A 17252-nucleotide genomic window follows, 5' to 3' on the forward strand; every position below is an offset into this window, starting at 1 on the left:
ACCATTGTTTGGAATAGTTTCAGAAGGAATGGTACCAGCTCTTCTTTATATCTCCAGTATAATTCAGCTATGAATCCATCTGGTCCAGGGCTTTTTTTGGTTGGTAGGCTATTAATTACTGCTTCAATTTCAGAACTTGTTATGGGTCTATTCAGGGATTCTACTTCTTCCTGATTTTGTCACGGGAGGGGGTATGTGCCAGGAATGTATCCATATTTTCTAGATTTTCAAGTTTATTTGCAGAGAGGCATTTATAGTATTCTCTGAGGGTAATTTGTATTTCTGTGGGATCAATAGTGATACCTCCTTTATCATTCTTTTTTTTTTTTTTGAGATGGAGTCTCACTCTGTCACCCAAGCTGGAGTGCAGTGGTGTAATCTTGGCTCACTGCATCCTCCACCTCTGGGGTTCAAGCAATTCTTCTGCCTCAGCCTCCCCAGTAGCTGGGACAGTAGGCACAAACCACCACACACAGCAAATTTTTGTATTTTTAGTAGAGATGGGGTTTCACCATATTGGCCAGGCTGGTCTCGAACTCCTGACCTCGTGATCCACCTGCCTCGGCCTCCCAAAGTGCTGGGATTACAGGCATGAGCCACTGCACCCAGCCCCCTTTATTATTTTTTATTATGTCTACTTGATTCTTCTCTTTTTCCTCTGTTAGTCTAGCTAGTGGTCCATTTATTTTATTAATCTCCTGGATTCACTGATATTTCAAAGGGTTTTTCATGTCTCTATCTCTTTCAGTTCTACTCTGATCTTAGTTATTGCTTGTCTTCTGGTAGCTTCTGAATTTGTTTACTCTTCTCTAGGTTTTTTAATTGTGATATTAGGGGGTCAATTTTAGATCTTTCCAGCTTTCTGTTGTGGGCATTTAGTGCTATAAATTTCCCTCTTAACACTACTTCAGCTGTGTCTCAGAGATTCTGGTATGTTGTCTCTTTGTTCTCACTGGTTTCAAACAACTTTGTTATTTCTGCCTTAATTTCGTTACTTACCCAGTAGTCATTCAGGGGCAGGTTGTTCAATTTCCATGTAATTGTGTGGTTTTGAGTGAGTTTCTTAATCCTGAGTTCTAATTTGTACATGTACAAATTAGAGTACACCATGGAATATTATGCAGCCATAAAAAAGTATGAGTTCATGTTCTTTGCAGGGACATGGATGAAACTAGAAGCCATCATTCTCAGCAAACTAACACAGGAACAGAAAACCAAACAGTGCATGTTCTCACTCATAAATGGGAGTTGAATAATGAGAACACATGGACACATGAAGGGGAACCTCACACACAGAGACCTGTCAGGGGTTGGAGGGGAAGAGGAGGGAGAGCATTAGGACAAATACCTCATGCATGTGGGGCTTAAAACTTAGATTACAGGTTGATAGATGGAGTGAACCACCACAGCACATGTATACCTATGTAACAAACCTGTACATTCTGCACATGTATCCCAGAACTTAAAGTAAAATTTTTAAAACAGATATAAATATTGTATACATAAAAAAGACACACAATGTTTATGAATAGAAAGATTTTATATTGTGAATAAGTAATTTCTACTCATTAAATTATGGTTAAATGCAATCCTACTCAAAATCCTATCAGGTAATTTGAAAATTGACAAGCTAATTTAAAATTTTTTTGAAAATTTAAAAGGACAAGAAGAACCAAGAAAGTTCTGAAGAAGAACAGAGCTCAAGAATGTATACCATCAGATGTTTCCAACTTTATTACAATTAAAATAAGATGCTATTAGCAGGACATACAAATAGAGAAATCAAAAACAAACTCATACTTATACCATCACCTGATTTATGACAAAGGTGAAACTGCAGTGCAGTGAGGAAATAATAATCTTCTCAATAAATGGTGTTAGATAATTTGGATATCAAAATGGGGGAATAAAAGAATTTAGCCCTTATCTTACTTCACAAACAAAAGTCAATCGTAGGTGGGTTATAAAGCTCAATCTGAAACGTTAAAAATTCAAAAAGAAAAGCTTCTGTAACATAGAAGAATACCTTTATGACAATGGGGTAGACAAAAATTTCTTAAGCCAGACAAAATAAGCATTAACTACACAGAAATAGTCTGATAACTTGAACTACATTAAAATTAAGAAATTGGTATTAACGAATTCACCATTAAGAGAAAGAAAAGACAAAGTGGGAGAAGATATCTGCAATGTTTATGTCCAATCAAAAATTTATGTCCAGAATATATAAAAAATCTCCTACAAATCTTCATATATTCTGGATAAGAATTTTTGATTGGACATAAACCAAAAAAAGTCCAGGACCAGACGGATTCACAGCCGAATTCTACCAGAAGTACAAAGAGGAGCTGGTACCATTCCTTCTGAAACTATTCCAATCAACAGAAAAAGAGGGAATCCTCCCTAACTCATTTTACAAGGCCAGCATCATCCTGGTACCAAAGCCTGGCAGAGACACAACAAAAAAAAGAGATTTTTAGACCAATATCCCCGATGAACATCGATGCAAAAATCCTCAATAAAATACTGGCAAACAGCATCCAGCAGCACCTCAAAAAGCTTATCCACAATGATCAAGTGGGCTTCATCCCTGGGATCCAAGGCTGGTTCAACATACGCAAATCAATAAATGTAATCCAGCATATAAACAGAACCAATGATAAAAACCACATGATTATCTCAATAGATGCAGAAAAGGCCTTTGAGAAAATTCAACAACGCTTCATGCTAAAAACCTCAATAAATTAGGTATTGATGGGACGTATCTCAAAATAATAAGAGCTATTTATGACAAACAACAGCCAATATCATACTGAATGGGCAAAAACCGGAAGCATTCCCTTTGAAATCTGGCACAAGACAGGGATGCCCTCTCTCACCACTCCTATTCAACATAGTGTTGGAAGTTCTGGCCAAGGCAATCAGGCAGGAGAAAGAAATAAAAATTATTCAATTAGGAAAAGAGGAAGTCAAATTGTCCCTGTTTGAAGATGACATGATTGTATATTTAAAAAACCCCATCGTCTCAGCCCAAAATCTTCTTAAGCTGATAAGCAACTTCAGCAAAGTCTCAGGAGAAAAAATCAATGTGTAAAAATCACAAGCATTCTTATACACCAATAACAGACAAACAGAGAGCCAAATCATGAGTGAACTCCCATTCACAATTGCTTCAAAGAGAATAAAATACCTAGGAATCCAACTTACAAGGGATGTGAAGGACCTCTTCAAGGAGAACTACAAACCACTGCTCAATGAAATAAAACAGGATACAAACAAATGGAAGAACATTCCATGCTCATGGATAGGAAGAATCAATATCATTAAAATGGCCATACTGCCCAAGGTAATTTATAGATTCAATGCCATCGCCATCAAGCTACCAATGACATTCTTCACAGAATTGGGAAAAAACTACTTTAAAGTTCATATGGAACCAAAAAAGAGCCCACATTTCCAAGACAATCCTAAGCCAAAAGAACAAAGCTGGAGGCATCACGCTACCTGACTTCAAACTATACTACAAGGCTACAGTAACCGAAAGAGCATGGTACTGGTACCAAAACAGAGATATAGACCAATGGAACAGAACAGAGCCCTCAGAAATAATACCACACATCTACAACCATCTGATCTTTGAAAAACCTGACAACAACAAGAAATGGGGAAAGGATTCCCTATTCAATAAATGGTGCTGGGAAAACTGGCTAGCCATATGTAGAAAGCTGAAACTGAATCACTTTCTTACACCTTATACAAAAATTAATTCAAGATGGATTAAAGACTTAAATGTTAGACCTAAAACCATACAAACCCTAGAAGAAAACCTAGGCAGTACCATTCAGGATATAGGCATGGGTGAGGACTTCATGTCTAAAATACCAAAAGCAATGGCATCAAAAGCCAAAATTAACAAATGGGATCTAATTAAACTAAGGAGCTTCTGCACAGCAAAAGAAACTACCATCAGAGTGAGCAGGCAACCTACAGAATGGGAGATGATTTTTGCAATCTACTCATCTGACAAAAGGCTAATATCCAGAATCTACAAATGACTCAAACAAATTTACAAGAAAAAAACAAACAACCCCATCACAAAGTGGGTGAACAATATGAACAGACACTTTTCAAAAGAAGACATTTATGCAGCCAACAGACACATGAAAAAATGCTCATCATCACTGGTCATCAGAGAAATGCAAATCAAAACCACAATGAGATACCATCTCACACCAGTTAGAATGGCAGTCATTAAAAAGTCAGGAAACAATAGGTGCTGGAGAGGATGTGGAGAAATAGGAACACTTACACTGTTGGTGGGACTGTAAACTAGTTCAACCATTGTGGAAGAGAGTGCAGTGATTCCTCAAGGATCTAGAACTAGAAATACCATTTGACCCAGCCATCCCATTACTGGGTATATACCCAAAGGATTACAAATCATGCTGCTATAAAGGCACATGCACATGTATGTTTACTGGGGCACTATTACACAATAGCAAAGACTTGGAACCAACAAAAATGTCCATCAATGATAGACTGGATTAAGAAAATGTGGCACATATACACAATGGAATGCTATGCAGCCGTGAAAAATGATGAGTTCGTGTCATTTGTAGGGACACAGATGAATTTGGAAACCATCATTCTCAGCAAACTATCGCAAGAATAAAAAACCAAACACTGTATGTTCTCACTCATAGGTGGGAATTGAACAATGAGAACACTTGGACACAGGAAGGGGAACATCACACACCAGGCTCTGTTGTGGGGTGGGGGAAGCGGGGAGGGATAGCAATAGGAGATATACCTAATGTAAATGACGAGTTAATGGGTGCAGCACACCAACATGGCCTATGTATACATATGTAACAAACATGCACGTTGTGCCCATGTACCCTAGAACTTAAAGTATAAAAAAATTATTAAAAGTCATTGAAATGTACACTTTAAAAAACACAAAAAGAGTTTATTCTATCAGGATTCTGACTAGAGTGCTCTAGAGTATGACATAGGATAGGGAATGTCTTAATAAGCTTCAAAATTCTAGGAATAATGAAACTAGGAAACAAAGCTTTGAAAAATGCCAGGAATTCAACTGCCTCCCTGGCCTTTCCCTGTCAATCTATGTGCCCCAGCAGCCAACTTACATAGCACTGTGTGCAGGCTTGTAAATAGACCTTCCAGTTCTGCTATAATCAATACCTTATTGTCCATAACTCAATTTGGAGAAGGTTTAGCTGTCTACCAACTCTTGTGGAGAGTTTCTGTGAAGTTTTGTTTTGGGTTGCAAGAATCTGGAAAACAGATGCAGATTTTTTTGAGGAAGATTTTGAAATTTCTACTTATAAGGTACCCAAAATGGGATCCAAACTCTTGAATTTGGTTGATCTTCTGAAATACATACCTGTGTTTTAAGATTTGCTTGAGCAAACCTTTAACCATGGAAATTTTAACCAATGATTTCCAGGTTGAAACAATTCCAGTTTTGTCATTTAAATACCACAGATGAATCTGTTTTAGCACAGAGTACAAATATCTTTTTTCCTTTTGAGCATTTGGAATAGTGTGTTTTGGTAATAAAACATAGCTCTGCATATTAATGAAACATAGCTCTGCATATTTTGTATGGGGAAAATTAGCATTCTGTGAACAAAGTCAATAATTTCTGGCCTTGCATTAGTTTCCCTACTATAATTAAAACTTAGTTTTGGCCGGGTGCGGTGGCTCCCGTCTGTAATCCCAGCACTGTGGGAGGCCAAGCCTGGCGGATCACGGAGCCAGGAGGTCGAGACCATACTGGCTAACATGGTGAAACCCCGTCTCTACTAAAAATACAAAAAAAAAAAAAATTAGTCAGGTGTGGTGGCGGTCGCCTGTAGTCCCAGCTACTCAGGAGGCAGGAGAATGGCATGAACCTGGGAGGCAGAGATTGCAGCGAGCCGAGATCATGCCACTGCACTCTAGCCTGGGTGACAGAGTGAGACTCTCAAAAAAAACAAAAACAAAAAAACAAACAAAAAAAGCACTTAGTTTTGAAAGTATCTTAGTGTTAAATTTCCAGTGCTTCAATATTACAATTAAAACCTTGCTTTACTGAGAGCAGAAACATAATGCAGAAAAGAAAAAAGACCAACAGTCTCTAGATTGCTGGATTTATGTGGATATGATGGGGTTGGTATTTAACGATTTCTCCCTTGAATCATAGCAAAGATGCTTTTGTGAAGCATAGCTCTTTCATAAATATACTTTCCAGCCATTCAGCATTACCTATCTTTAGGTTTCTTTTGCTTTGTGTTTCCACTCCAATATCATTTCTGGAAAAAAATTACAGTAACAAATTTATTGAGAGCTGGCATTGTGAATGGTGCCTAGGACTTAATTCATAAAGAGAAGGTGAATTCTGCTGAAAGGTGCTTAATACACTGCCCCCCAAATCAAGAGAAACAGGCCATTCTGGGACACACATAGCCTGTCTCACACAGGGGTCAGGAAGCAGGGATATCAGGGAATTGGGACTATGTCTTTATGATAGATATGGTTAGGCTTTGTGTACCCCCATCTCATCTTGAATTGTAATCCCCAGGTGTTAAGGGAGACACCTGGTGGGAAGTGATTGGATCATGGCGGGTGGTTTCCCCCATGCTGTTCTTGTGATACTGAGTAAATTCTCATGAATTCTGATGGTTTTATAAATGGTAGTTTTTTCTGCACACACACACATGTTTTTTCTCCTGCTGTCATGTAAGAAGGTCCAGTTTGCTTCTCCTTTGCCTTTTGCCATGATTATAAGTTTCCTGAGGCCTCCCCAGCTATGAGTAACTGTGAGTCAATTTAACCTTTTTGCTTTATAAATTACCCAGTCTTGGGAAGATTTTTATTGCAGTGTGAGAATGGACTAATACAGTAAATTCATACTGGTAGAGTTGGGTACTGCTATAAAGATACCCAGCAATGTAAAAGCGACTTTGGGTCTGGAGATGGAGATGAGAAACCTATTGGGAACTAGAGCAAAGGTCACTCTTGCTATGCTTAAGCAGAGACTGGCAGCATTTTCCCCCTGCCTAAAGAGCTGTGGAACTTTGAATTTAGATGATCTGAAATTGAAACTTATATTTAAAAACGAAGCAGAGCATAAAAGTTTGGAAAAATATGCAGCCTGATAATGCTATAGAAAAGATAAACCCATTATTTGGGGAAAAATTCAAGCCAGCTGCAAAAATTTGCATAAGCGACAGGAAGCCTAATGTTAATCACCAAGACAATAGGGAAAATGTCTCCAGGGCATGTCAGAGACCTTCACAGAAGCCTTTCCCATCACAGACCAGGAGGCCTAAGAGGAAAAAATGGCTTTGTGTGTGGGGTCCAGGCCTTGCTGCTTTGTGCAGCCTTGGTACTTGGTGCCCTGTGTCCCAGCCACTACATCTGTGGCTAAAAGGGGCCAAGGTACAGTTCAGACCATTGCTTCTGTAGGTACAAGCCCCAAGCTTTGTTGGCTTCCATGTGGCATTGAGCCTGTGAGTGCACAGAAGTCAAGAATTGGGGTTTGGTAACCTCCACCTAGATTTCAGAAGATGTAAGGAAAAGCCTGGATATACAGGCAGAAGTTTGCTGCAGGGGTGGAGCCCTCATGGAGAACCTCTGTTAGGGCAGTGCAGAAAAGAAATGTGAGGTCAGAGCTTTCACACACAGTACCCAATGGGGCACTGCCTAGTGGAGCTGTGAGAAGAGAGCCACTGTTCTCCAGATCCCAGAATGGTAGATTAACCAACAGCTTGCACTGTACATCTGGAGAAGCTGCAGACATTCAATGCCAGCCCATTAAAGCAGCTTGGAATGGGGCTGTACCCTGCAAAGGCACAGGGGCAGAACTGCCCAAGACCATGGGAGCCTACTTCTTGCACCAGTGTGACCTGAATGTGAGACACAGGGTCAAAGGAGATTATTTTGGAGCTTTAAAATTCAATGACTACCCTGCTGGATTCTGGACTTGCATGGGGCCTTTAGCCCTTTTGTTTTGTCCAGTTCTCCTATTTGGAATAGGAGCATCCTCATCCAATGCCTGTACCCTCATTGTATCTTAGAAGTAATTAACTTGCTTATGATTTTATAGGCCATGCTAATCAGCATTCAGTTCCAGATTCCAATTTATTCTCAGTGTGCCTGTATAAATTTTCTTTCCATATATATAGAATTAAATTTCTATTACTTATTTGAATGTTATAGAATACTGTTCATATATTTAAAATAAAACCACCAGGTATAATGATTTCTGGCTTAGTATAAAAAATATTTTACCCAGTTAGTGTTATTTACACAGGTGGATGTGGCTCCACAACATTTAGACAAGAAGAATAAATTCAGCTGTCGTATGTTGCCGTGACTCAGCCTCTGAAGAAATTATGAAAAAATCCAAATTTCAGCAAAATTATATAGTTGTTTTCAGTACCTCTGAGGGTGGTATATCAAGAATTCTCGTGCTACTGTTTGAGAAAACAGATTCCGTTGTTACCTAGAAAATCAACTGCATGGCATTTTTATAACCTTACCCCATGTAAAAAACATATATTGAAATGTACTAATAAATGCAGACTACATTACTTGAAAAATGGTAATACAGAATGCCACTTTTAATAGTTGAGGATATGAATTTTTGGTAGAAATAATGTAAAATAAAGCTTCTGGTAAGCCTTGGGTAGTTAGATTTACATCAGTGTAAAGTAGGATGAAAATCTGTAAAAAATAAAAACAAAGAAACAAAAACCTACACCAACAAAACCCTAACATCCACCAATGCATACATATTGATCTTTGTGCTGGGAAAATCTAAAGCAGAACATTTTGGTTAACTTGATAGTTATTTATTTTGACTATATTGGCATGTTGCTAAAACTGCTTATATTTAATTTGAGTGAAACATGTCCACATTATTAAAAGGGTTGTTTTTTACTATGAATGATGGATGTAAAGTCTTGATCCTCACCCAGATAAATATGGCAACACTTTCTTCTGCTTCTTTCGAACTGAGACATTATGAAAGCTCAAATTTGAAGTGAGAGGGACTTAACATCAGAGCCTGAAAAACCAAGAGGAATGAGGTAGGATGGTCAGCTCTGAAGCTCAGGGTGGCCTAGGGAAACTCAATATAATGATGTCAACTATGAAGCTTACTAGGTAAAACTACAAATAGGCTGATCTCATTTCACAGAGGTAAGCCCACACTCCCCTTTCCAAAAAAGTAAAAAACAAAACAAGCAAATAAAACTAAAAATACAAACTTGAAAACACCATGGCTTAAATTTGGTGGGAAGAAGCCTGTGGGACAAAAAATAGTGGTGCCAAAAGAATTGAGCCAGCTGGGTGTGGTGGCTCATGCCTGTAGTCCCAGGAGTTTGGGAGGCCGAGGTGGGCAGATCACCTGAGATCAGGAGTTCAAGAACAGCCTGGCCAATATAGTGAAGCCCCATCTCTACTAAAAATACAAAAAATTATCCAGGCATGGTGGCAGGTGCTGTAATCCCAGCTACTTGGGAGGCTGAGACAGGAGAATAGTTTCAACCCAAGAGGTGAAGGTTGAAGAGAGCCGAGGTCATGCCATTGCACTCAAGCCTGGGCAACAAGAGAGAAACTCCATCAATTAAAAAAAAAAAAAGAATTGAGCCAGAATAAAATGTATTTAAGGGTTATTAATGGGAATGTTTCTAGCACATAAGTATTTGTTCCACTTCTTATTATATTATATTAGTAATATCCTTTCATGTAATATCAGCTTCTCCAAGATAGGGATGTCAAAGACAAACTAAGACAAGTGCCTAATATGTCATAGGCATTTTGTTATCAAATTTAACAAACTTGTAATGATTATATAAATTTTACTGAATTGTGTTTTATGTATAAGCCTCACCTAAAGGCATTATCCAGTACATACAACCTTGAGTGTTTTCTGGGATTTTCTGTTGCCTGATTTCAAATCAACCTTATTGAAATTCTAGCAATTTCTCCAGTCCCAGATGTAAAAATAAAAAAGCAGAAATAAAGCCAAATTACCCCCAAAAGGATACACATTATGCATATAGAACAAATGAACCCAAAACCACATAAGGTAAACAACAAATCTACTGGTCCAAAATTCAGCCTAACTTCAACAGTACCAGGCAAAAACCATTTGTAGAAATTACCAAAGTCAATATAGAAACCCTTAGTCTATTATGCCAATAAATATGGGGGAACCTGCCCCGATAGTCAAGTAGGTTGTTTTCTATTTTCCCTAAGTGTCTGCCAGTTTGAGAAATAAAGGGAGAGAGTACAAAAGAGAGAAATTTTAAAGCTGGGCATCCAGGGGAGACATCACATGTCAGTAGGTTCCATGATGCCCCCCAAGACACAAAACCAGCAAGTTTTTATTAGGGACTTTCAAAAGGGGAGGGAGTGTACGAATAGGGTGTGGGTCACAAAGATCACGTACTTCACAAGGTAATAGAATATCATAAGGCAAACGGAAACAGGGCAAGATCACAGGACCACAGGACCGGGGCAAAATTAAAATTGCTAATGTAGTTTCAGGCACCATTGTTATTGATAACATCTTATCAGGAGACAGGGTTTGAGAGCAACCAGTCTGACAAAAATTTATTAGGCAGGAATTTCCTCTTCCTAATAAGCCTGGGAGCACTACGGGAGACTGGGGTTTATTTCATCCCTACAGTTTTGACCACAGAAGATGGCCACACCCAAGGAGGACATTTATAGGCCCACCCTCAGGGGTGCATTCTCTTTCTCAGGGATGTTCCTTGCTGAGAAAAAGAATTCAGTGATATTTCTCCCATTTGCTTTTGAAAGAAGAGAAATATGGCTCTGTTCCACCCAGCTCACCAGTGGTCAGAATTTAAGGTTATCTCTCTTATTCCCTAAACAACTGCTGTTATCCTGTTCTTTTTTCAAGGTGCCCAGATTTCATATTGTTCAAACACACATGCTTTACAATCTGTGCAGTTAATGCAATTATCATAGGGTCCTGAGGTGGCATACATCCTCCTCAGCTGACAGGATTAAGAGATTAAAGTAAAGACAGGCATAGGAAATCACAAGGGTATTGATTGGGGAATTGATAAGTGTCCAAGAAATCTTCACAATTTGTGTTTAGAGATTGCAGTAAAGACAGGCATAGGAAATTATAAAAGTATTAATTTGGGGAACTAATACATGTCCATGAAATCTTCACAATCCACATTCTTCTGCCGTGGCTTCAGTCAGTCCCTCCATTTGGGTACTGTGACATCCTGCAACAAATAAAAAATTACCATTTAAAAATACATTAAATATAACAGAACGTATACAATTACAATAAAATATTTTTAAATGATAATCTTATTTTCAAATATTTACCACATTTAGACAAGACTTTTAATGAAAAATACTTATAGCTACAATGTATGAATTAAAATAGCCCTGGAAGAAATAGTAATTCTATACATAATAAAGATTAAGGCAGGGTGCAGTGGCTCACACCTATTATCCCAGCACTTTGGGAGGCCAAGGTGGGCAGATCACCTGAGGTCCGGAGTTCACTACCAGCCTGGCCAAGATGGTGAAACCCCATCTCTACTAAAAATGCAAAACTTAGCCAGGCCTGGTGGCAAGCCTCTGTAATCCCAGCCACTTGGGAGGCTGAGGCAGGAGAATTGCTTGAACCTGGGAGGTGGAGGTTGCAGTGAGCTGAGATTGCACCATTGCATTCCAGCCTGGGTGACAAGAGTGAGAATCCATCTAAAAAAAAAGTAAAGCTTCAAGCTTGTGGAATAATTTATCCTGGACACACAACTAATGTCCCAAATTAAGCTGAGATGTGTTTGATTTTAAAATTCTGCTTTTTCCACTGTGGACAATGGTGATGTAACAGTTAAATCTTGGTCTCAGAGTTGGTGGTTGGGAATAAATCAAGGCAAGCACTTTTATGCTTTGTTTTATATTCTTTATCACCAACATTTTCTTCTCTAATATGTCAGTATTTACATTTGGACCACAGCTGACTTTTACTGAAGTCTACTATAAAACATGGCTAAATTGAAAATTAATGTGATCATAAAATGATTTGTCATGAAAGCAGGTATATTTTTCTTTTTTTTTCTTTTATTATTATACTTTAAGTTTTAGGGTACATGTGCACATTGTGCAGGTTAGTTACATATGTATACATGTGCCATGCTGGTGCGCTGCACCCACTAACTTGTCATCTAGCATTAGGTATATCTCCCAATGATATCCCTCCCCCCTCCCCCCACCCCACAACAGTCCCCAGAGTGTGATGTTCCCCTTCCTGTGTCCATGTGATCTCATTGTTCAATTCCCACCTATGAGTGAGAATATGCGGTGTTTGGTTTTTTGTTCTTGCGATAGTTTACCGAGAATGATGATTTCCAATTTCATCCATGTCCCTACAAAGGACATGGATACCAAAACAGAGATATAGATCAATGGAACAGAACAGAGCCCTCAGAAATAATGCCGCATATCTACAACTATCTGATCTTTGACAAACCTGACAAAAACAAGCAATGGGGAAAGGATTCCCTATTTAATAAATGGTGCTGGGAAAATTGGCTAGCCATATGTAGAAAGCTGAAACTGGATCCCTTCCTTACACCTTATACAAAAATCAATTCAAGATGGATTAAAGACTTAAATGTTAGACCTAAAACCATAAAAACCCTAGAAGAAAACCTAGGCATTGCCATTCAGGACATAGGCATGGGCAAGGACTTCATGTCTAAAACACCGAAAGCAATGGCAACAAAAGACAAAATTGACAAATGGGATCTAATTAAACTAAAGAGCTTCTGCACAGCAAAAGAAACTACCATCAGAGTGAAAGCAGGTATATTTTTCAAGTTTCAGCTCAGTCACAAATTTGTATCTATTTGAATTTTTTGAAAATTTCTGACATATACTGAAGTAAATATCAAATGTATTGTTTTATTCAATTGTTTGGATTCAATTAAAAAATAATTTATATTCAAGTTTGTTGTTATATTTACTTTTGACCAAATTTGACTTTCCAAACAAGAAAAGCTAAAGCATTTTTTTCAAAGGTTCAAGGGACTTAAGCTTACTGGCATCAAATGTTCTGTAGTAAAACAAACAGGCAAATAAAACCTAATATTTTTATCAATAATAATTTAATAGTTTTATGTCTGAGAACTTAAGAATCAACGACATCAACTCCAGATGATGTCAATTGCATAATTACACTGGTAAGATAGAAACTGATTATCAGAGTCTAACAAATGATGGATATGGCAACCTAACACTTGACAAAACCATTCAGGATGTGTTAGAAAAACAAGAAGGTACTACTAATGTAAAGCTTTTTCTTTCTCTAACTTTACTTTTTTTTTTTTTTTTTTTTTTTTGAGATGGAGTCTCACTCTGTTGCCCAGGCTGGAGTGCAGTGGTGCAATCTCGGCTCGCTGCAAGCTCCGCCTCCCGGGTTCACGCCATTCTCCTGCCTCAACCTCCCTAGTAGCTGGGACTGCAGGCACCCACCATGACGCCTGGCTAATTTTTTGTATTTTTTAGTACAGACCGGCTTTCACTGTGTTAGCCAGGATGGTCTCGATCTCCTGACCTTGTGATCCACCTGCCTCAGCCTCCCAAAGTGCTGGGATTACAGGCCTGAGCCACCGAGCCTGGCCCAACTTTACTCTTTATTCTCAACCTTACAACCATCAGATACTCCTGTACACAGAATAAGAAAAATCAACTATTTTTCCTTGAAGGCAATGTTTCATCTTTTATGTTATAATATCTGTTCCACATTTCTGTGAAAATGCTGTTGAAGTGCACCTTCCTTCCTTCACCAGAGATTGCCTGTGTGAATTTGAATAGATGGTCACTGGAGGGGACCAGCTTGGCACACTGGGTTGAATTGTCTCTTTGCTTTTCAGACAAAGTGGCTTTGAAAAGACTGAAAGTAAAGTGACTGCTGATTAAGCAGATGGCTTGCCATGTCAATAGGACAATTGTTTGAAAATCACATCGCATGAACTATAACTATTAAAATGAGAAATGCATGATGCAAATATTGCACAAAAAAATAGAATGAAAATGATGAATACAGCCAAAAAAGACAGCCAAACTCAATTTTAGCAATAAAGTAAAATATAATCTACTGTCAGGGGAAGGTAACTTGAAGTACTTGAGATGTTCTTTAATTTAAAAATCCAAAAATATTTTTAGCTTTAGTTGTGATAAAACATGTTTAAGCATTTTCTATTTGAAATAAAACTTTAATTTCATGCTTTGTCGGTTTAGTTTCCCTAAATAAATAGAAAATAGTAAAATATCACATACTAAAAAAATCAACTTCTTTGGTAATAAATAAGTGCAACTGTCAGACCAAAACATAGTTACATTTTACCCAATGTCATGCTGACCAATTCGATCAAACGCCACTTCCTTATAACTAAGAGAGATGCAAAGATGTAGACTTTATGTTGAGTGAGACAGGTAAGGATTACTAGGAGGTAGATAATTGTTTTACTAATCAAGGTCGATTTTCATTACTATTTTGTCTCTATGTTAATTAATGGTCTTGATTCAAGAAAATTTTTTTAAAAACTCATCTTTTCAGTCAGGCAAAATATTAACAAAAAGGCATAGAAATGAAGGCATTTAACACAGTCATAGTTTACATTTTAAAATTAAAATACTTCTAGAAATAACAAAGAAAGAAAAAAGACACATATAAAAACAAACGAACTTAATTTTTGGTGCAAAGCACTCATTACTAAGCCTAACACAAATATTTTGGTGAAGGCTTTCTAACACTGACATTCTTCTCATGACTTAAAAGAGCCACTAATTTTACTTTTGACATATATTTAGTTTTAATGTTAAAAGCTAAAAGGAGCCTATTATTTTATTTATAATTTGTGGTCTGCATGTACATCATCATCCATTGAGTCGACTAAAGTTTCTGAAAGTTTCAGAAACAGTAACATAAGAATACTTTTTCCGGCCATGCATGTTGTCTCACGCCTGTAATCCCAGCACTTTGGGAGGCCGAGGTGGGGGGATCACCTGAAGTCAGGCATTTGAGACCAGCCTGATGAACCTGGTGAAACCCCATCTCTACTAAAAATACAAAATTAGCTGGGCGTGGTGGCACATGCCTGTAACCCCAGCTACTCCTTTAATGACCACATGTGAAGTTTCTTTTGAACTAATTTTAACTACCTATTTTTATTGCTTTTTTGCTCCTATTAGAAAAAATATTAAAGTTTCTGTTACTACAATCTATTCAAATCTAAACATAGTGCTTATCTTAAAAGATCTGTATGCTTGGAATTATGGAAATCCTATTCTCCATTTAAAATACTGCTTTTCAGTAAGCCAAATGGGGCAATTGTGGCTCACAATCATAAGTTATTAAATATTAATACCATCATCTAGATGGAACTTTTAGTTATCTGCATGTTCAAATTGTTTTAACTTGTAATAAGTCAGAAACAATAAATTTTTATAAACTATAAAAATAAACTAAAACTATATTTATCAATGCATTTTTTTTGGTTTTAGAATACTTAGCCCCAGGATTATTTCTAGTTGACATAACACTAGATTTCAGATGATGTGGATGTAGAAACTAGAGACGTCCTGGTTGACTCTGCTTCACTTTCTGCCTTCATTTAGCACACAAGCATATCGGCACAATGAAAGCCAGCAATGCTAACCCTTTTGAAAAACACACCAGTGCCCTTCTACAGAGAATATATGTGTGAAAAGATTCATCTGAAAGTCATGCCATCTTCTTTTTGATTTACAGACTTATATATGACAAATAACACAAATAAAAATTTAACACTGCCATATAATCAGAAAATTATTCTAAAAATTCCTTCTGACACATTATTCTTTGTCACCAAAATGGTTGTGATGAAATAATTGCCTTTGCAGGACTGTTGTCTTAAATAACCAATACTCCTGTTTCATTGTTCTTGAACTTTAACCATAATAGAAATTTTATTTCCTAATTATGTCACTTAGGTGTGATTATCATAGCTTCATATTTTCAAAAATGGTTCTAAAAAAACTAAACCACTGACCATCTTTGTTTCCCAAAGAGTAATAAGTTAACACTATCATCTAGCATACTGTAAATAGATGAAAAATAAAAATGTAGAGCAGGGGTGTCCAATCTTCTGGCTTCCCTGGGACACACTAGAAGAATTGTCTTGAGCCATACATAAAATACACCAATGATGATAAAAAAATCACAAAAAACTCATAATGCTTTTAGAAAGTTTATGAACTTGTTTAGGGCTGTGCTGAAAGCCATACTGGGCCACGTGAAGCCTGTAGGCCGTGAGTTGGACAAGCTTGATGGACAGTCATTTATTTTAGCTGCACACCCAAGACTAAGGCCAAGAGCTTTCAGAGAAAGTAGCTTATAGGATGTCAGGAGACCTGTTATAGAAACATTCACCCCTATGTCTAAAGGGGACAAAATTCTATGTCTTCCACCCTTAATTCCAACCATTAAACAAAACTGGAGAAATCTAACATGGCATTATATCACAAAGTATTTTATTATTTTTATTTTGGATTCAAGGATACACGTGCAGATTTGTAACATAGGTATACTGCATGACATTGAGGTTTGGGCAATTAATAATCCCATTGCCCAAATAGGGTACATTATACATCACAAGTACTTTTAAACCCCTGTACCCCTTCTCCCTCCATTTTGGAATCCTTAGTGTTTATTGTTCTCATCTTTGCTTCCATGTGTACCCAATGTTTAGCTTCCACTTATAAGTGAGAAAATGTAGTATTTGGTTTTCTGTTCTGTGTTAATTTGCTTAGGATCATGACCTTGAGCTGTATCCATGTTGCTGCAAAGAGTATTACATGATTCTTCTTCAGTGGCTGCATAGTATTGGATGGTGTGTAATTACATAATTTTTAAAATCCATCTTAAAATTTATGAGCACATGGTTTCATTCCATGTCTTTGCTATTGTGACTAGTGCTGCAATAAGCATACGAGTGCAGGTGTAATTTATTTGTATTTGGGTATACGCCCAGTAGTGAGGCTGCTGGGTCAAATGGTAACTTTGGTTTTAGTCCTTTGAGAAACCCCCAAAATACATTCTACAAAAGCTGAACTAATTTGCATTCCCACTAAGATTATATCAGGGTTCTCTTTTCTACACAATTTTAACATCTGTTTTTTTTTTTTTTTTACTTTTTCAT

General features: G+C 37.4%; 1 pseudogene across 1 annotated transcript in view; it reads left to right on the forward strand.

The window, feature by feature from the left end:
- The window catches only part of ANKRD30BP2 (ankyrin repeat domain 30B pseudogene 2), an 80086-nt pseudogene that overhangs the window by 31627 nt on the left and 31207 nt on the right, over positions 1–17252 (forward strand). The gene's annotated exons all lie outside the window — the stretch shown is intronic.

Source organism: Homo sapiens, chromosome 21 (assembly GCF_000001405.40).
Source record: "Homo sapiens chromosome 21, GRCh38.p14 Primary Assembly".
In the NCBI taxonomy this organism is placed as follows: Eukaryota; Metazoa; Chordata; class Mammalia; order Primates; family Hominidae; genus Homo; species Homo sapiens.